We start from the raw sequence: 18,090 nt of genomic DNA, 5'->3' as shown, positions 1-18,090 counted from the left end.
TAATGAAATAACAGAATTTTATTAAATGATAGCAACTTAAAAATAATTTCTAATTAAGTAGAATATGAATCATTGCTGTGTCTTTTCCAGTAAACAAGCATTTAAAATATTTTACAGTTTCACATTCTGTATAGGGCTTGCACAGTTGAGTTGAAGCACAGACTGAGAACTTCTAATGAGACAATTAGGGTTTTTTACCTTTTATTATGAAAGTACTTTCATTCCGAAAGTTCTCTCTTTGTGTTTTTAAAGGTACTGTAAAAAAAAAAAAAAAAAAAAAAGGAGAAAGAAAAAAACACTAAGGAACAATCGTTGTCTTCTATTAAGAACATTTAACAAAGGGACCTGAGGAAGTATTTGAGCTGAGATGTGATGGAGAAGGGCAAGGGGCAGTGAGTGGTTGGTGGACAGTGGGCCAGAGGAGAAAGGCGCTTTGGAGGACCCAAAGGCTGGTGGAAGGAACAATTGTGATAACACTGGAAAGCTCACAGTGGGCTTGGAGAAGGGCACATGTATGTCTTAGGGTATATGTGTATCAGATATGTCTGAGACTTGGCTGAGTGAGCTGGTGCCAAATTGAATGTCATGCATACTCTGTGATCTGAAGTTTTGTGAGCAGAAGCACGATCTGTTCTATCTTTTGCTATGTATCCCTGGTAGGAGTGTCTATTCCCTAATCCTGGACCTTCTGCTCATTCACCTGGGAGAAATGGATACCTGGTCTTGTTACTCTTGGCTAAGTAAGGGAGAATTACGTTTTGATAACCTTTTTTAATGATAGAAGAGAGAATGGAGGACATGCTTTAATTCTGACAATATGCCTTTATTGATGAGCGAATAAAGGTACTCATGTGGGGAAGTCCATCTAATGTTTTAGATTTTTTCCAGATGTCATTATAAGTAAAATTCTATTAATCTAGATGTCTTTAGTTCAGATTTGATACTAAAAATATACTGACTAAGCTAAATTAGGCATCTAGACACTGGGTGCTGGGCTAAGGTGAGTTTAGGGAAACAAGCCAGCACAAAGAGGACCTTGCTGAGGGTTACAACATTAGTTCTTTGGAACGCTGCAGCGATTTTTCAGCCTCAGGGAAAAGACTTTTCTTAAACAACTAGTGTCAGTGGACTGTGGTAGAACTGCTTAGACAAACTTGGAGAACAAATTTTTACGAATAAACTTTTCAAGAATGTTAAAAACATTTACTTAGAGATAATGGATATGCTTTCCTCACGTCATCATTGGTTTGTTTATAAAAGCAGGTCTTTACTTTTCAACATCGTTATATTCAAATATTCATTGTAACAAAAGTGCATTTCTTTACAATTATTCTGTAATTTGTAGTTAATTCAAACTTCCTTCTATCATTTAGACTGAATTACTGATGTTTTGGCAACTTCGCTGATTTAATAATTTTATCGTTGTTTATACATCATTTTTCTTCTCTGAACATTGAGCATGACTGTGAATCAGAGTGTAACATTCACAAATAATTATGTTCTTATGCTTTTTTTCTGTGGGAATAAAAATATTTATGGTTTAGGAACAAAGTGTATGTGCATGAATATATTTATCAATGAAAAGAACAAGCTGTTTACTTGTAATACATATTTATATATGTGGATTTGTAAAATTTAAACGAAACTATTTCCTTTAATACCCTTTTTTAACAAATAGGGTTTGTGGTCATTCTGGAGAATATACAAAAATAAAGTATTTATCTTGTTTGAAAGCAAAAAAAAATGTGATTTAGAAGGAGATACTTTTGCAGACATAGAGTTATAGATAAGCTAAAAAGTTGTTGACAGCTATTATAGTACGAGTTTTCTTTCGCCTAATCTAACGTCTTTTAAAACTTCTCATTTCCTAACTTGTTGTCTTATGAAAGTGTTTTCATAAAGATGCTGACTATTGGTGGGGTGTAATGGCTCACGCCTATAATCTCAGCATTTTGGGAGGCCGAGGCAGGTGGATCACTTGTGGTCAAGAGTTCGAGACCAGCCTGGCCAACGTGGTAAAACCTCATCTCTACTAAAAATACAAAAATTAGCCGGGCATGGTGGTGCATGTCTGTAGTCCCAGCCACTTGGGAGGCTGAGGCAGGAGAATCACTTGAACCTGGGATGGGGAGGTTGCAGTGAGCCGAGATCATGCCACAGCACTGCAGCCTGGGTGAAAGAATGAGACTCTGTCTCCAAAAAAAATTTAATAAAAATAAAGATGCTGACTATAGTGAACTCATTCCCCTCTTTTGTTTGGGAAGTATCTGGACACATTTGGTTAGGTCTGAGGGAGAGGCACGATAAGGGTCAGAATCGTGTGTGGTATTATTTTGGCTGTGTTGCTTGAGATATTGCTAAGGCTCCTTCCTGTTTGCATGTTCATGTATGGGTTTTGGTAATGGGGACCCCTGTCTCACATTCTTAGGAATGGCCCAATAATCTGTATAGATACCCTCTTCAGAAACCAGTAACAGCCTGTAAATCTTTTGAGATAGGGCTGAGCTTGCACACTTTAGCTGACTTAGCTTACCAGGCAATAGACACCATGTACATGGTGACTTCTCTAGTGTGCTCCGATGTTTTATTGACTGACCCTTAATGCCTTGATGTACATCATTGACCCTGGGAACTTGTAGCCTTCTGCTAGACTGGCACATCCTGGCATAACACATTTCTCTGTCTAGTAGTTTGAACATCACATGAAGCAAACCCTTACTAATTTGAATTTCACCAACATCTTTAATAAGAAATTAGCTCAGCAATTATTAATGTAAATGAAATTGAAAAGGGGAGTAAATTAAGATACAATTTTAGAAAAAATATTCAATATTTATTCAAGTACAAGCATGCACAAAGGACCATAAATTTTTAATCTGAGCTTAAATTTCTGCATGTCCTGAGTAGTTATTGATACTGGTGGGCTTGGGACGGTCTCTAAGACAAGACTATTTCTTTAACCATTGGTCTATAGTTCTAATTTATTTTTCCTAAATCAGGCTGACCTGATTCTTTGACTTTTTTAAAAAAATTGTAGAGAGATATTGACGTGGTGAATGATTGACCTTCAGAAATTACCAAGTGTGTGTCTGCTATAGCTAAAACAGAGGCTCTGTGTGTATATGTGTTTTCAGCAGCAAGTACTCTTGAGGTTGTTAGTATTTTAGTCCCCATGGATTCTTAATAGAAGGATGGCTGTTCCATTATCTTGTACAAATATTTGGCAATGGAATTCCCTTATTTACTAACTGTAAGTAACATAATATTTTTAAACCTCCAATCACCGGGAAAGGAAAAATAAACAACTGCCATAAAGATACTTAGCACAGAAAGTTTGCAGAGTTTAGTATTTGACAGGATAGAGACTGGAGTTTATCATTTATCATTTAGTGAATGTAGGCCTTTCATCAAACTTTTTGTTTATTAAAAGTATTGGCTATGTAGCATGTAGATAGGAGTCAAAAGGCACCATGTTTTAAAAATATTAAAATGTCCAGTAAAGTGTGTTATATTTTGAAATAACTTTTAGTTGGGGGGAGATGAATCACAGGTTGTATCAATTTTACAAGATAAGCAAATCTGACTTTTGTGGTTTTAAATCATGTTGAATGTTACTCATGAAAAAACCGTCTGAGTTTTTAGTTATAAATTCAGAGAACAGTAAGTTAAAATAACTTTTATGTTGTTTATACTTTTTACTTTTCTTTCAGTGTAGCAGATTCTTATTGAGGGGGATTCTGTGATACTTGGTGAATTATCTGCTTGCTTGCACACAAAAAAAACCTTATGTAAAAGTGTTCAAGGAAAACATTACAATTCTTTTAATGTAAAAATTCTTTTGCAGTGGCATTTATATAGAAAAACAGTTTGGAAAACAATTGCCTTTTCTATTTGTGGTGAGGTAGATACAGAGTTTTTTGTTTTCTTTAGATAATGTATATCATAGAGTCCTCTCTTTGTAAAGTTGAAAGGAATGAGGGTGTTAAGTTTTACATGTAGAGAGTATATTTTCTCTAAACATGCTCTTAGTAATTGAAAGTATCTTTTCCTATGTTTTTCAACTGCTTTTACCAAGTTTAATACTTTCCAAAATATAGGCACTCAATAAATTGATTGACTTTGTTAGAGAAGATTGCTTTTTTGTCTTCATTAGATGAATAAAAGTTAGAAATGAAAATTTTAAAAAGTCAAGTTTCCCCAAAGTGAAAATCATTGGAAATATTTAATACAAAAGCAAATATTGTCTTTTTAGAAAGTTTGTTAATACCCATTATTAACAGTAAAGAAGTAAAGACGTAAAAAGAAAAAATTTACTTTTTCATTCATTGAGAGGCAATAGAATACAAACAAACAAAATTCAGACTATCATTGAATGAAATTGACAATAACAGAATTCTAGGTTCTATGATTTTGTGATTGAACTGAACGAACATGGAAAATAGTTCAACTCACACTGATTTGAGCAAACAGTATGGATAGGTTTTTGTTTTTTTTTTGAAATGGAGTCTCGCTCTATCACCAGGCTAGAGTGCAATGGTACCATCTTGGCTCACTGCAACCTCCGCCTCCCAGGTTCAATCGATTCTCCTGCCTCAGCCTCTCGAGTTGCTGGGACTATAGGGGTGTGCCATCATGCCCAGCTAATTTTTTTTTTTTTTTTGCATTTTTAGTAGAGATGGGGTTTCACCATGTTGGCCAGGATGGTCTTGATCTCTTGACCTTGTGATCTGCCCACTTTGGCCTCCCAAATGTATAGTTTTAATGGGCAATATTGCAGAAGAAATTCATATTTCAAAGCAGGGTCTAGCCTGGGTATACATTTTTTATATTTTTGTTATACCATTTCTATTTTGAATTACTGAGGATACATTTAGGGAAAGGAAGACTGTACCTGAGCAGTTAGAATATTTCCAATCTCCACTCACCTCCTTTACCTCGCATAACCCTGAAGTATAATTGCACCACTTACAATTTTCTATGTAAAACATATTTAAAGTCCTTCAGCTACCAAGACTTTTCTCTTTGGTGTCAAGGCCTCCAGAGGGCTATTGTTTGTTTTAATTTTGTTTTTACTTTTATCAGTGTGCTCCAAGCACATAATTTAGAGAGCTAATTTAGTTCCAAAAAGCTTATGATGAAACATTGCAGTCATTTATCCTGGCATTTTCCACACCCATGAGGCAATTGCTTTCAATTTTGTTTGAGCAGATTCCTTTGGAATTTACTTCCGTATCTCTAAATCATATATTTATGTAACTCTTCTTTTAGTTTTTAGTTTTGGGCACTATCCATTGGCTTCCCCTTATGGAAGATGAAGAACTGGCACCCTTTCCTGCTGTGCCTCACCCACCATACTTCCTATCTCACCTCAACCCAGACATTTCATAATTTTGGTTAGATTGGTGTTTACATGAGTGTGACCATGTAAATGCTGTTTACAGCTGGGTCTGATAAAGTACTAGGTTTACATTTTCTTTCTGGAATGATCTGTTGTTTTTCTTGAAATTCATCAATTTCTTTGTTTTGTTGTTTTGTGTATTTATGTTTAATTCAACTCTGAATTACTTCCTTCTGGTGTAAGTTTTTTCTTTATATAGTCAAATATATTGGGCATTTCATCGAATATATATATATATATATCAGAACATTCTAGACCTGCTCCAGCCTAGGCCTCCTGAAGCTATTGCTTCAGGTAGTAAAAGGATATCATGGGATATCCCTTTACTACCGTTCTGGAATTTCCTTTGCCTCCCTTTTATTTTAGACCCTCTGTTTCCTGGATTCCAAGTCATTGTCCTTCTCTGTTTAGTCTCTCATTTTAGGAAGCATGTCTTCCAGTAATTTCCGGAAAAAGCATTCATAGGAAAATTTTTAAAGCCTATATGCCTGGAAATGGCTTTATAAACCCTCATGCATTAATTCTGATGGCTGTACAATTCCAGATTGGAAATAACTTTTTTCCTCAGAATTTTGAAGACACTCGTTTGCTGTCCTTTAGAAGTCCACTGCTAATTTGGTTTGATTTGAGTCTTGAACCTTTGTAGGAAAGGTATGTAAATTTGACCTTCAATTCTGTGTTTCTAGTACTGTACTTTGTCATCTACTATACCTGCTGTCCCCAATCCTGACTCTCTATTTTAGTGTCTCCACTTCCTCAAGCATCTCTATTGGTGAAGGTAGGGTAGTCACCCTGCTGCATAGGATGAGAGAGGGGCCTGTGTTTGGGGGAGGTCTAACTTCTTCCTAAGTGGGGTTTTCAACAAGTCCTTCTCTCTTTATCCCCACCTCAGGGCTGCCAATACCTGAGTATTTTGGGGACTCCGTGATGTGAATCAGGTTTTCCCACTATTGCTTTAGCATTCAGCTTTTGGGGGACTGCTGAGGAATTTGCCACTCTGCTCTCTGCTTTGCACTTTTCCAAAATATACTTGCTGTTATCTCTTTTTCCTTTTTTCAGTTTTCCCTGGGATTATGCAGTTTTCCCTGGGATTATGCCTTTTAAAATATCCCTTTACTATTGTTTTAGTGAAGTTTCAAGGGGAAGAAGGGATAAGGGCAAGTGTTGAATCTGCTTTCTTTAGGGGGAAATCCTAGGGGGTGGTGGTATCAGGGAAGCAGATCATTTTTATAAATAAATGTTTCTTTAAGAAAAGGGCCTTCCTTGAGATTTTACTATTTTGTCTGTGTACATATAGTGATGTTAAATAACTTTAAAAGTGGGGGGAATTAATCCTCTTTGTTTCTACGAGGGGATGCATTTACCCACACATCCCCAAGGGCTTAAATAGGAAGGTGGGTGTCAAGCCCTTCCTTTCCTCCTCAGATACTTCCAGTGGACAAAGGGACTAGTAACATGTCATTCTGGTCATTCTGTGACCAACCTCAGTTTGTTTAAGATAACAGACAAATTGATTTCACTACTTTTAAAAAAGAAGTTGTGTTCCCCACCCTCCACACCCATCCTGCTTTAGTTTTGTAATAAAGATGTTTTGGAAAATACCAAAAACAGTCTCACTGGACAGGGATTTTACTAAAAGTTCATGTCATAGCCTTTGGGATTAGACACCCTTTTGTGGGGGTGACACTGATAGTCTCAGGAGGATGAGCAATTTTATACACCGTCATTCTCATCCTCTAATCCTAATTACCTCTACTCAAGAAACATATATTAAGTGTCTGCTATGTGCCAGGTAGAGTGGTAAGTATTTAAAACACACTGATACCTCTTGTTCATGTGGAGTTTGTGTTCTAGTAGAAATTATGATATGGTTAATAATGGCTACTTTTTAGGAAGTGCTTACAAGGAAGCAGCACTTTACCTTATGGAATCTTTTGCACAGCATTGCAAGGTAATTTTAACATTCTCACTTTACAAATGAAGAAACTGAGGTGTAGTGGTTTGCCCAAGACTAGCCAATGGATATGTCAAGTAGCCAAAATCTGAAGCCAGGTCTATTTTTTATTTCAAAGCCTATGTTCTTCCATTTTTACAGCTTTTTTTTTTTTTAAGTCAACAAGACAATTTCACGTACATTGTTTTATTTAATCTTCTATTACCTAAAATATGAAGGCACTCATCTTTGAACCGAAAGTTATTTATTCTCAGCTTCAGTGACTTGGTGAAAAAAATCTCTGATTGATTACATCATTTAGGGGGTGTATCCTATTATCAGAATGCTGTGTTAGATGCAATTTTTTTTCATGAATGTAGGTTTAGGAATAAAACTTATTTGTGGAAAACAAGTTTTAGTTGGTCTATAGTAGGGGAAATTAGATATTTTCAGGAACTCTGTATTGAACAATTTTTCAAAGCAAGTAAAATACTTTATAATGGAAATAATGACATTCTAATTTCCCATATAGACACACATTTATTCATTCTTCATTCATTTAAAATGTTTAGATGGTAGTAACTTGAGATGGGGAGAGTCTGCACGTTATTCCCTTTCTTTCACTTGTAAATTGTGTTAAATGTTTAAAGGCATACTGGATTATTATAGCATAATCTACAGAAAAGACACTGGTAAAAGAGAGGCAATATTTAAAATAGAAATGTGTAGGCAGAAATCAAGGGGAGTCAAATGTTAATAAGACACTCAAGGTTCAAATTAGAGAAACCCAAGGGAATACTGAAATTGGTCTTAGTTGGTAAACTACTCATTATTTCCACTGACATTCCACCCAATACCTGCTGTGTGACAGGTGCTGCTTGGGCACTGGGGATAAAATAATGTTTAAGAACAAGATCCTTGCCAGCCAGAACTGATGATCTAGCAGTGGAGGGAGCACTGTGACTTATGAGTAGGACAGCCAAGTGGTTTATAAGCCAAAGTCTCTGAGACCTGAAATACAGCAGACAAGGAAACCCCGACACACAGAGGGAGGGAGAAAAGTGAGAAAATAAAGAATAGGAGGTAAAATACTGGAAAACAGTGATGAGGAAGACACTGTGGCACACTGCAGAGAATGAAGGCTATGTACGGAAAGAGAGGACAAGTCATTATGGATGGTGTTTCACAAACTAGTACAGAATAGCATTTTTTATAACGCTTTCCATTTTCCAAAGCATTTTCCCATGTATCAAATCTACGTTGATGGCAACTGTAAAAGGGGGTTCTTTTTTTTATCTTTATCAGGCAGATAAGCAAACTGACACAAGGACAGTTAAATGGTTTGCTAAAGGTCACACAATATGTTTCAGAGCTGGTTTTGAACTTAAATCTAACTCCAAATTCAGAGCACTTTTCATCATTCCAGAAAGAAAACCCACTAGGAGAAGAGAGGGTGAGTTGCTTTGCAAACTAGACTGGTACAGACCATCTCATCAAACCATATGCATTGGGAAAGCAAGAAACATGAGGAACACTTGCTGCCACCATCAGGGGAGATACATACCTGTTCCCAGTAATGTTGAAGACAATAGGTGTCTGTGTAGTGACATTGATAGGGATGTACACTTCATATCACAACACAGCTCAGCAGGAACTGTTGTTTAATTCTGGGCTAATTTTGTTTTATTGAAATTAAGATTAGCATCATGCTTTATAGATGCTTCAAATCTAGCTCTTAAACTAAATAGCAGCTGAGTGATTCTCAGTGCAATAATCAGTATGAGAATGACTTTATCAAGGACTCAGATCTCACTACAAAAGAAAATTTAGGGGTAGATGCAGATGGTCTCTTTATCCTGTATTAAGGATGAATTTGACATTTAATGTTTTCCTTGGAATTAGAAGACTAGATGTTTCAGGCTACAGCAATAACAACAAAGAAAAGACAGCTGACCGTGAAGCTGCAACATCATTTTAAAAATATTTTATTTGAATCAAATTTTAAATTTAATTTATTCCAAGAAAGTGTTATAATGTTGGTGAAACTTGTCTTTTCAACCTCAAAGTCAAACAAATCAGTGTTCCTGAGTGTTAGTGGAATAAAGAAAAAAAATTATTTTGTATGGGATAACTGGCATCATGTGAAACCATTGGAAATCTGAAAGATACAGTCATTTTGGAGTTTTCCCAGAGTTAAGGGTGTCTAGCTCATAGGAAACTTAGCCCCTCCCCACCAATCATGGGCTACATTTGCAAACTGATTAATGACTTCAGGAGGCAGAAAATGAGAGAATATTCAAGTACGATTTAAAAGGTTATAAAACCGGTCAAGAAATTTACATGGTTATCCTCAAGGCAAAGTCAGGGCATTTCCTGTTTTCTTTATAATCATCATCCATGTCCATGTTTTATTGATAAACATATCTTGCCTTTTCAGGGATGCTTTGGTTTTCATTGTAGCCAGATATCAAATATGAAACAAATTTAGGTTAAGAATCTGAGAGAGCAAAAAATGTCTCATAGTTTAATTTTTCTCTGGAGTCTCACTGTCTCTAAGGGTCTTTTCTTATCAAAGATTAGAAAAGTGATCCAGTATGTAGTTACTGAACATTTGGTCTCTTTGTAACATAAGATACAAATATAATATTTTTTATGTCTAGAAATCTCTTAAGTAAAGCATTAAAGAAAGGTCGGATAAAAATTGGCTTGAAGTACTATGCTCACGAAATTTCTTCTAATCATACTTTTAAGGCTGAAATCTTTAAAGTAAGGCCTAGAAATAACAATACTTTGAAATGATATCTGAGTATATTAAAGCTGACCATGAGTACTGTGTATGCCAAAAATAAAAGTAGCTTACAAAATGAGAGCCCCTTAACAAAATACTACTTTATCCTTTGAACCAACACTTATTTTGAAGCTGTGTTATTGTCTGAGAGATTATGCAGTTATATATTCTTTATTTTTTATATGAAAGAAATATGAAGGAAGCAGATTAAAACTAATAGTAATGATTTATATTTTTAAATCATAGGAGGTATGTTATGGTAGTAAAAATCAGCCCCATTTTCTATATCTTATACTCCACTCCCCCTTTAATTAGCAAATATTATGAACAAAGAAACTTTAAGTTTGAATGCTAATGGCTCACAATCCTAATTCAGTCCACTTTTTCCATTTTCTTGCCTTCATTCTACTTGTGCAATCTTTTATTAGATTCATCACACCTTGCTTTTCTACAGGTCATTTTTTCACAAAATTGCCAGAATTATGTTTTTATAATGTACATTAGATCACGCCACCTGCTAATGGATTTGCATTACCCATAGAATAAAATCCAAAATCCTTTCCATGGCTCAGTATGATCTGTTTCTTGGCACATCATAACGTCTACTTGCATACCCTGTACCCCATCCCACTCTTTCTGTGTGCCAGTTACCATTGAGTTTTTAACTAGCTAGCTCACCATGTAAGGCCACATCACACTTGGTATTTCCTCTTCCTGGATTGCTTTTTTCTGAAGTCTTAACAGCATTGCTTCTTTCTTGTCTGTGCTGACTCATTTTAAAGATCACCTTTATCAAAAGACCTTCCCTGATCACCCAGTCCAAGGTAGCTCCCAGTCCTACTCACTATCATACCTTTCTGCTTTGTTTGCATTTATTCTTTTACTTAACAAATACTCGTTGAACACCTATTATGTGATGAGGAATGCAAGAATGTACCTGCCCTTAGTGGAGCTTTCAGTCCAGTGAAGGAGGATATTCACAAATCGTCACTACCTGGTACTCCCACCCTGACCTCCCACTGTAAATAGAATGGAATATTCATAATTGCAAAGAAGTTTTATTCCTGCTAAAATTAGTAGGATGATTTTCAGAGAGCTCGTTCTTTCTCATATTTTTGCTGCTTGCCTCTGTAAAATTACCACCACAACTGGGCAAGGTATGACACAGGAACACAGCTACAGTGATCCAGTCCTCTCAAATTCATTATGCACATTCTTGTGGAAGTCACATTATCTGCTGTTTGTGTTAATTTTCTTGTTTGTAAAATGAGGTAGCCTTATCTGTTTCACAGGATTCTTGAGTGAATTAATTGTGAAAGTACTTGATAAACAGCACTATCCAAAAGTTGCTGTTTTTTTCTAATCATAATAATGGTTTTCAATTCCACCCTCGGCTATGTGGGCTTCAAATAATCTACACTTTTTTTTTGAGACAGGTTCTCTCTCTGTCCCCGAGGCTGAAGTGCTGTGACATGATCATTGCTCACTACAGCCTCAATCTCCTGGGCTCAAGTGATCCTCCCACCTCAGCCTCCCAAAGTGTTAGGATTACAAACACATACCACCATGCCTGGCTAATTTTCTTTTCTTCTTCTTTTTTTCTTTTTGTAGATATGGGGTCTCATTATATTTTCCAGGCTGGTCTCGAATTCCTGGACTCAAGTGACCCTCCCACCTCCCAAAACCCAAACGTTGAGATTACAGGCCTGAGCCACCACGCTTAGCCAAATCTACATTTCTGATACTTAGATAAACATTTTTATGTTAATCAAATAAAATTAGATTTTTTATCTTCCCACAGAGCTGTTTACCCCTGACAATTTATCTGCTTTGGTGAAATACATCATTCTCCTCCATTCTAAATTCAATGAGTCTAATGCCTTGTCAATTTTCTTTTCCTGTGCCTTTTAAAATGATTCTTTTCTGCCTATTTTCAAGGCTACCATCTAAGTTCAGCTGCTCGCTTCATGCCTCCTCTTGTGCTGCCTTCTAAGGCATCTTCACCATCCCCCTCAGCCTTCCTTTTTCCAAATCATTGAGAACTTTGCCTTTATTTTATCAGTTTATAATGTCATTCCCCTATTCAGAACCTTTGAAAGATGCTACCTTAATGCCTACATGATGGATTTAAAATTCACTAGTGTATTATTTAAAGTTCACCATAATCTGGCTTCAGTGCATCTTTCACCTTTGATCTCTTCTCATTCCTCTTTCTGACCACCCCACTCCAGCTAGATGGATCTGTTTCCTGTTCCCCGATTCTTTGCTTGACTTTGCAGCTGACTCTGCACACTTGTTCATGGCTTTTATTTGCCTGGTATTCTCTCTTCTCTTCTTTGTTCCAATCCTCTTCACCTTTTGGAACACTGCATATTTCTCTATTTCATAGGAATCTTGAATTTTTATCTCCATTTCTGTTTTTGACACCATATTCAACTTTGTGTTTTTTTTTGCCTGCGCATGCCTTATCAGAATTTTGATATTCTTTTATATATCCCAAGTGCCTTCCCCATAATAGAAACTTACTATAGAAAGTGTCAACAGTAGTTGAGATTTTGTTCTATGTTGTGCTTTTTCCAAGAATGCAAAGGAAACCCCCCAACCCCCATTGCCTAGAAGAATGAGTTAAAATCTGCTCATGGTGCAGAGCATTGAACTTGTTGACTTCACCTCGTCCACTTTGAAAGGAATTAGGTCCCCTTTCTTGGAGAACTTGATTAAAGTTTATCAAACTAGAACATGTAAATTCTTATTTATCCTAATGAAACTAGTGGCATTTATAAAAGATTTTTCTCAGGAGACGGCTAATAAATTAGGGCTCACTGAGATGAATATTAAATGTTATCTGCAGATATTTCTAAATTTGCTGATAATTTCCCCATCTGCTTCTGAGGGGCTTCATGAAAACTTGCCTCTGTTTTCTTGGTCACTAGGTAAACATAATACCAAGTCTGTCTTTGAGGAGCCTATTTTATTCTGATACTATAACAGCATACTTTTCTGTTTTTCTACAGTACTTTGGAAGTTTGCTTGTCATTTTCTGTGTAGAACTGGCTTGTGGCGTTTGGACATATGAACAGGAACTTATGGTGAGTTCAAAATAGATATAATCACAATCTAAAACAACAGTTCAGCCTTTTAAATTAGATACTTGTGTTAGTTCATTTTCACTCCGCTATGAAAGAACTGCCCAAGACTGGGTAATTTGTAAATTAACTCACAGTTCAGCATGGCTGGGGAGGCCTCAGGAAACTTACAATCATGGCAGAAGGTGAAGAGGAAGCAAGACACCTTCTTCACATGGTGGGAGGAAGGAGAAGTGTTGATCGAAGGGGGAAGAGCCCCTTATAAAACCATCAGATCTCTTGGGAACTCACCCACTATCAAAAGAACAGCGTGAGGGAAACTGCCCCATGATTCAATTACCTCCACCTAGTCTGTCCCTTGATATGTGGGGATAGGGGGATTACGACTCAAGATGAGATTTGGGTGGGGACACAAAGCCTAACCATATCAATACTTTAGAGTAATTTAGGTACATGATTATTAATTTGAATGTTTATGCTACATGATAACAGTTAATAATCCCAATACTTCTGAAAACTAGCATTTTCTTTTCTGTGTCTAAAGCACATTTCCAAACCATAATTTGTAAAATTTTATTTGGTATACTCTGTATATGTCTTTAATTCCACAGGCTGCTTAAACATGGGTATCATAGACTAAATATAGTATATGTTCTAAAATAATTTTACCAATTTTGAAGTTAATAATAGAAAAGATTCACATTCACAAATGATTGGTTTGAAAATTCTTGAACACCTACATAAAGTCTTATAAAATGCTGACTGCAATAGTGAACAGATGACTAGGAAGCCTACATCTCCTGTTTGCGACAGGCAGAATCATTTTCCACCTTAAGTAAGAGGTGTATTTGAAGAGTTGCTGTGTGTTTGGCACGATCTAGAAACACTCTCACAGTTCCACACTTGGCTACTTGAAAATAGCTATTCATCATTTTTTTATCTTTTATTTCAGCAGTTGAAATGGTTGGGACAACTTTTATAGCTAGCATAAACGAGCATAACATTTCTCAGTCTTAAGATTTTTACTAGTCATGTTTGGCTTACCACTTGCACTTCACCCTTGCACTCACTGGGTATTATTACTTATTAACATTTGCTTACTTCATTGAGGGAAATTAGTGCATTTACTGCTAGTGATGTGATGTCGAACACTTTTGCATGTCTGTGAATGCTGGTTGTTTTCATGGAGGGAGGCCAGACTTTTTCCCCACAAACTTTGTAGAGTAATTCTGTTTTAGTAAAATGGTGATTTTCCATATGTAGTTCTTGGGCCATCTGCAGTAGGAGCCACCCAGGATGATTCTTAAAAATATGCGTTATTGGGCTCCAGCCCAGATGTGCTCAATCAGAATGGAGGGGAAGGCAGGGAGGAACGGGCAAGGACTGGGCATTTGCATCTGTGACAAGTTCCCTGGTGCATCTTCAACATTTTAAAGTGTAGTAAGTCTCCAGAAGAGAGAAAGATTATATTGTCTTTGTTTCAGAGCGAAGAGAGTCATTTGGCAATTGAACAGTAAAATAGAAGTCATTTCTGGTGCTGATGTAGTCTTCAAAGATTCTTTGGTGAATCTACTATTGTGCTTCGAGACTGTTTTGAATACTAAGTAGTAACCACAGACTAGTGGCTACTCTGCACACTCCAATTTACATGTCAGTGGTGCTTTGGCACACTCACACATATGTATCTCTGTGAAGACACTCATGCTTCCAATGTACAACGGCACTAAGTAAGTAGAGAGAGTTCCTGAAAAGGTGAAAAGTTAGCTCAGATTCTAACTAGTTTAATACAAAGTTAAGAGCTTTTAACAACATGAAATCTCCCATTAATATAGGAATTTGTTTGCTGTCTTTGAAAATCATATTTTCTCCCTGTCTCTGGTAACTTTATTAGGGGAGTGATAAAGTACTTGACTCCAGGGAATCGGTTTCTGTGGTTTACTGGTCAAGAGATTGTCTCTCTTATTTTTTTCTGTTTTCAAATGATAAATGTGTCTCCTTGACATTTAAGCCATAGAGAGTACATCTTATCATTAGTTCTGGATCCTGTTACCTCAGCTTTTTATTGTCTGCTGTTTGGTAATTAAAAGGGTTTTAGCAATTTGTTTACTTTCTTGTGGATTTTAAACATGGGCATTAGAGTATATATGCCATACCAATATTTGGTAAATCTTCTAAGATACAGCAAGTTCAAAATGAATTAACTTAACATGTTTGAAATGAAATGTTTTGATTTTAAAGTAATTCTAAGAAATATGAGGAAATTGAAATGAATGTATTCTTGTTTAGACACTTTCTTCTATTCTGTTAAGAGGCCATCTGCAAATAGCTCCTGAGTCCTGCAGTGCTAAATAGGTGCCCACTGCCATTCCAGTTGAGGGCACACATCACTGTTTTGCTTTCATAAATCTTTCCCATTACATCACCAGGATGGAGCAAGGGCTGTTTAAAAGTGAAGTGTAAAAGCAGTTCTTTAAAAAAAGTTTGTCAGGTTTTTTATTGCTTTTGCACTAATAGCAGTGTGAATGAAAAGTACCATTAAAGTTTATTATCTGCCAAATTTTGCAGAACCCAGCCTTTACATAGAATGGGCTTTGTGCTTTTAGCTGTTCCATGCAAGGAACCAATCAACCTGTGTGTTACTTTATGACCAGACCTCAGTATTTGTGCCAGAACCTCAATGGTCTCCTCTGTTTTCTTCCACATTTGGTCTCAGATTGATAGTGGTCACAATAAGGAAACAACCTGTATTTATTTTAGAAGGTAAAGTTTAAAAAAATTGATATATTAACTAAATCAAGTAACTTGACATCAGATAATGTGTTTTCTCATTATTTCTGGTTTTTTTTGTACTGCTCATCTTCTATTCATTATTCCTTCTCTAGATAAAATCTGTCAGTGATAAGAGTTTCAGATTGTACATTTCTAGATAATTTATTTCACTTCCATTTATTTTATGCCCAAAAGGTTATGAGATAATATTAATTTATGGTGAGTAGCTTGAACTTTGACTAGTTCCCTGAACCTTGTTGAAGGCATATGAACACAAAGTACACCCGTTTAGCCCATTATTTGGGGGAAAAAAATGTGTGCCCAAGTGTTTGGATGTTTTATTGTGTATTTCCAAGTAATCAAAAAAAAAGTTAACAAAGAAAAAAACGAAGATTTTCTGTGGTCAGGAATTTTGAAACTGCTTCTATCGATATGACTATCTTAAAAAATAAGATTTCATAATAATCCTAATCTCTAGTTCTGTTGGAGCCTTATTTGCTCATGTCTCCCTTTTTTCCTTTTTGGTTCTCTATCTTTGTGTTATTTGTTGAATGTCAAGCTTGCTTTACTAAGCCCAGTCTATATTACTTCATAGATCAGATGGGAATGTCCATCCAGTTTCCCAGAGTTGCCTTAATACTGTGTGTGTAATGAGATTTGCATTTGTATACCTCAATTTCTCATGGCCCTGCAGTAAAATCATAGCTTGATATACTGACCAGATTTCTGGCCAGTAATGACTGTTGTATTGTATTGTATTACAACAATGACTGTGGTACTGTATACCTAAAGCTCTGTCATGATTAAATACTCTGTAATAGACATGGTGCTAGGTGATTGGAGAATAGAAGCACAAAAATGCTTTACTTTAAAAACTGTTCTTTCTTTTTAAATTATTTTTAATTTTTTTATTTCAATAGGTTTTTGGGGAACAGGTGGTAGTTGATTACATTAATAAGTTCTTTAGTGGTGATTTCTGAGATTTTCGTGCATCCATCACCTGAGCAGTGTACACTGTACCCAATGTGTAGTCTTTTATCCCTCGTCCCCCTCCCATCCTTCCTCCCGAGTCCCCAAAGTCCATTGTATTATTCTTATGGCTTTGTGTCTTATAGCTTAGCTCCCACATACGAGTGAGAAAATACGATGCTTAGTTTTCCATTCCTGAGTTACTTCACTTAGAATATTGGTCTGCAATTCCATCCAGGTTGCTGTGAATGCCATTATTTTTTCCTTTTTATGGCTGAATAGTATTCCATGGTATATATATTTTCTTTTCTTTTTTTTTTTTTTGAGACCGAGTCTCGCTCTGTCACCCAGGCTGGAGTGCAGTGGCGTGATCTCGGCTCACTGCAACCTTCGCCCTCCGGGTTCACACCATTCTCCTGCCTCAGCCTCCCAAGTAGCTGGGACTACAGGCACCCGCCACTACACCGGCTAATTTTTTTTTGTATTTTTAGTAGAGACGGGGTTTCACTGTGTTAGCCAGGATGGTCTCGATCTCCTGACCTCGTGATCCGCCCGTCTTGGCCTCCCAAAGTGCTGGGATTACAGGTGTGAGCCACCATGCCCAGCTGATATATACATTTTCTTTATCCACTCATTGATTGATGGGCTTGGGCTGGTTCCACATTTTTACAATTGCGAAATGTGCTGCTATAAACATGAGTGTGCAAGTATCTTTTTCATATAATGACTTCTTTTCCTCTGGGTAGATAACTAGTAGTGGGATTGCTGGATCAAATGGTAGATCCACTTTTAGTTCTTTAAGGAATCTCCACACTGTTTTCCATAGTGGTTGTGCTAGTTTACATTCCCACCAACAGTGTAAAAGTGGAGAACTGTTCTTTCTAAAATTCTAACATACCTCTTAATTACAACTTTTGAAAAAGTGTTGATAAAATTATCCCAGAGTGAGGCTTGAGTTGAGCCAAATTCTTTCCCTTCTTAATTCTTTCCTCTTTGTTTTAGTACTATTATCTGCAGTTGCTTCAAAGAGCAACAACTTCATAGCATTTTGAAATCAAATGAAGGACATTTCTCTGCAGAGGTTATTTGTTATGTGAAAGTCTTCAGTATGTCTGTGGGATGTACAGTTAATTACTTGTTGGTGATT

General features: G+C 36.4%; 1 protein-coding gene across 5 annotated transcripts in view; it reads left to right on the top strand.

The window, feature by feature from the left end:
* Positions 1-18,090, top strand: part of TSPAN12 (tetraspanin 12) — a 71,016-nt gene that overhangs the window by 29,399 nt on the left and 23,527 nt on the right. For 3 of the 5 annotated variants that reach the window (XM_005250239.4, XM_047420095.1, NM_012338.4), the window contains one exon: positions 13,134-13,208. The exons of 1 other annotated variant lie outside the window; for it this stretch is intronic. In XM_005250239.4, coding sequence (XP_005250296.1) covers positions 13,134-13,208 — 75 coding nt within the window. Of the gene's footprint in view, positions 1-13,133; positions 13,209-14,690; positions 14,933-18,090 lie in introns of those variants that run through there. One more of the 5 variants, XM_047420097.1, reaches the window with a different exon arrangement.

The sequence above is a fragment of the Homo sapiens genome, chromosome 7, assembly GCF_000001405.40.
Source record: "Homo sapiens chromosome 7, GRCh38.p14 Primary Assembly".
In the NCBI taxonomy this organism is placed as follows: Eukaryota; Metazoa; Chordata; class Mammalia; order Primates; family Hominidae; genus Homo; species Homo sapiens.
The sequence above is the reverse complement of the archived record's forward strand: the minus strand, read 5'-3'. Positions and strand labels throughout refer to the sequence as shown.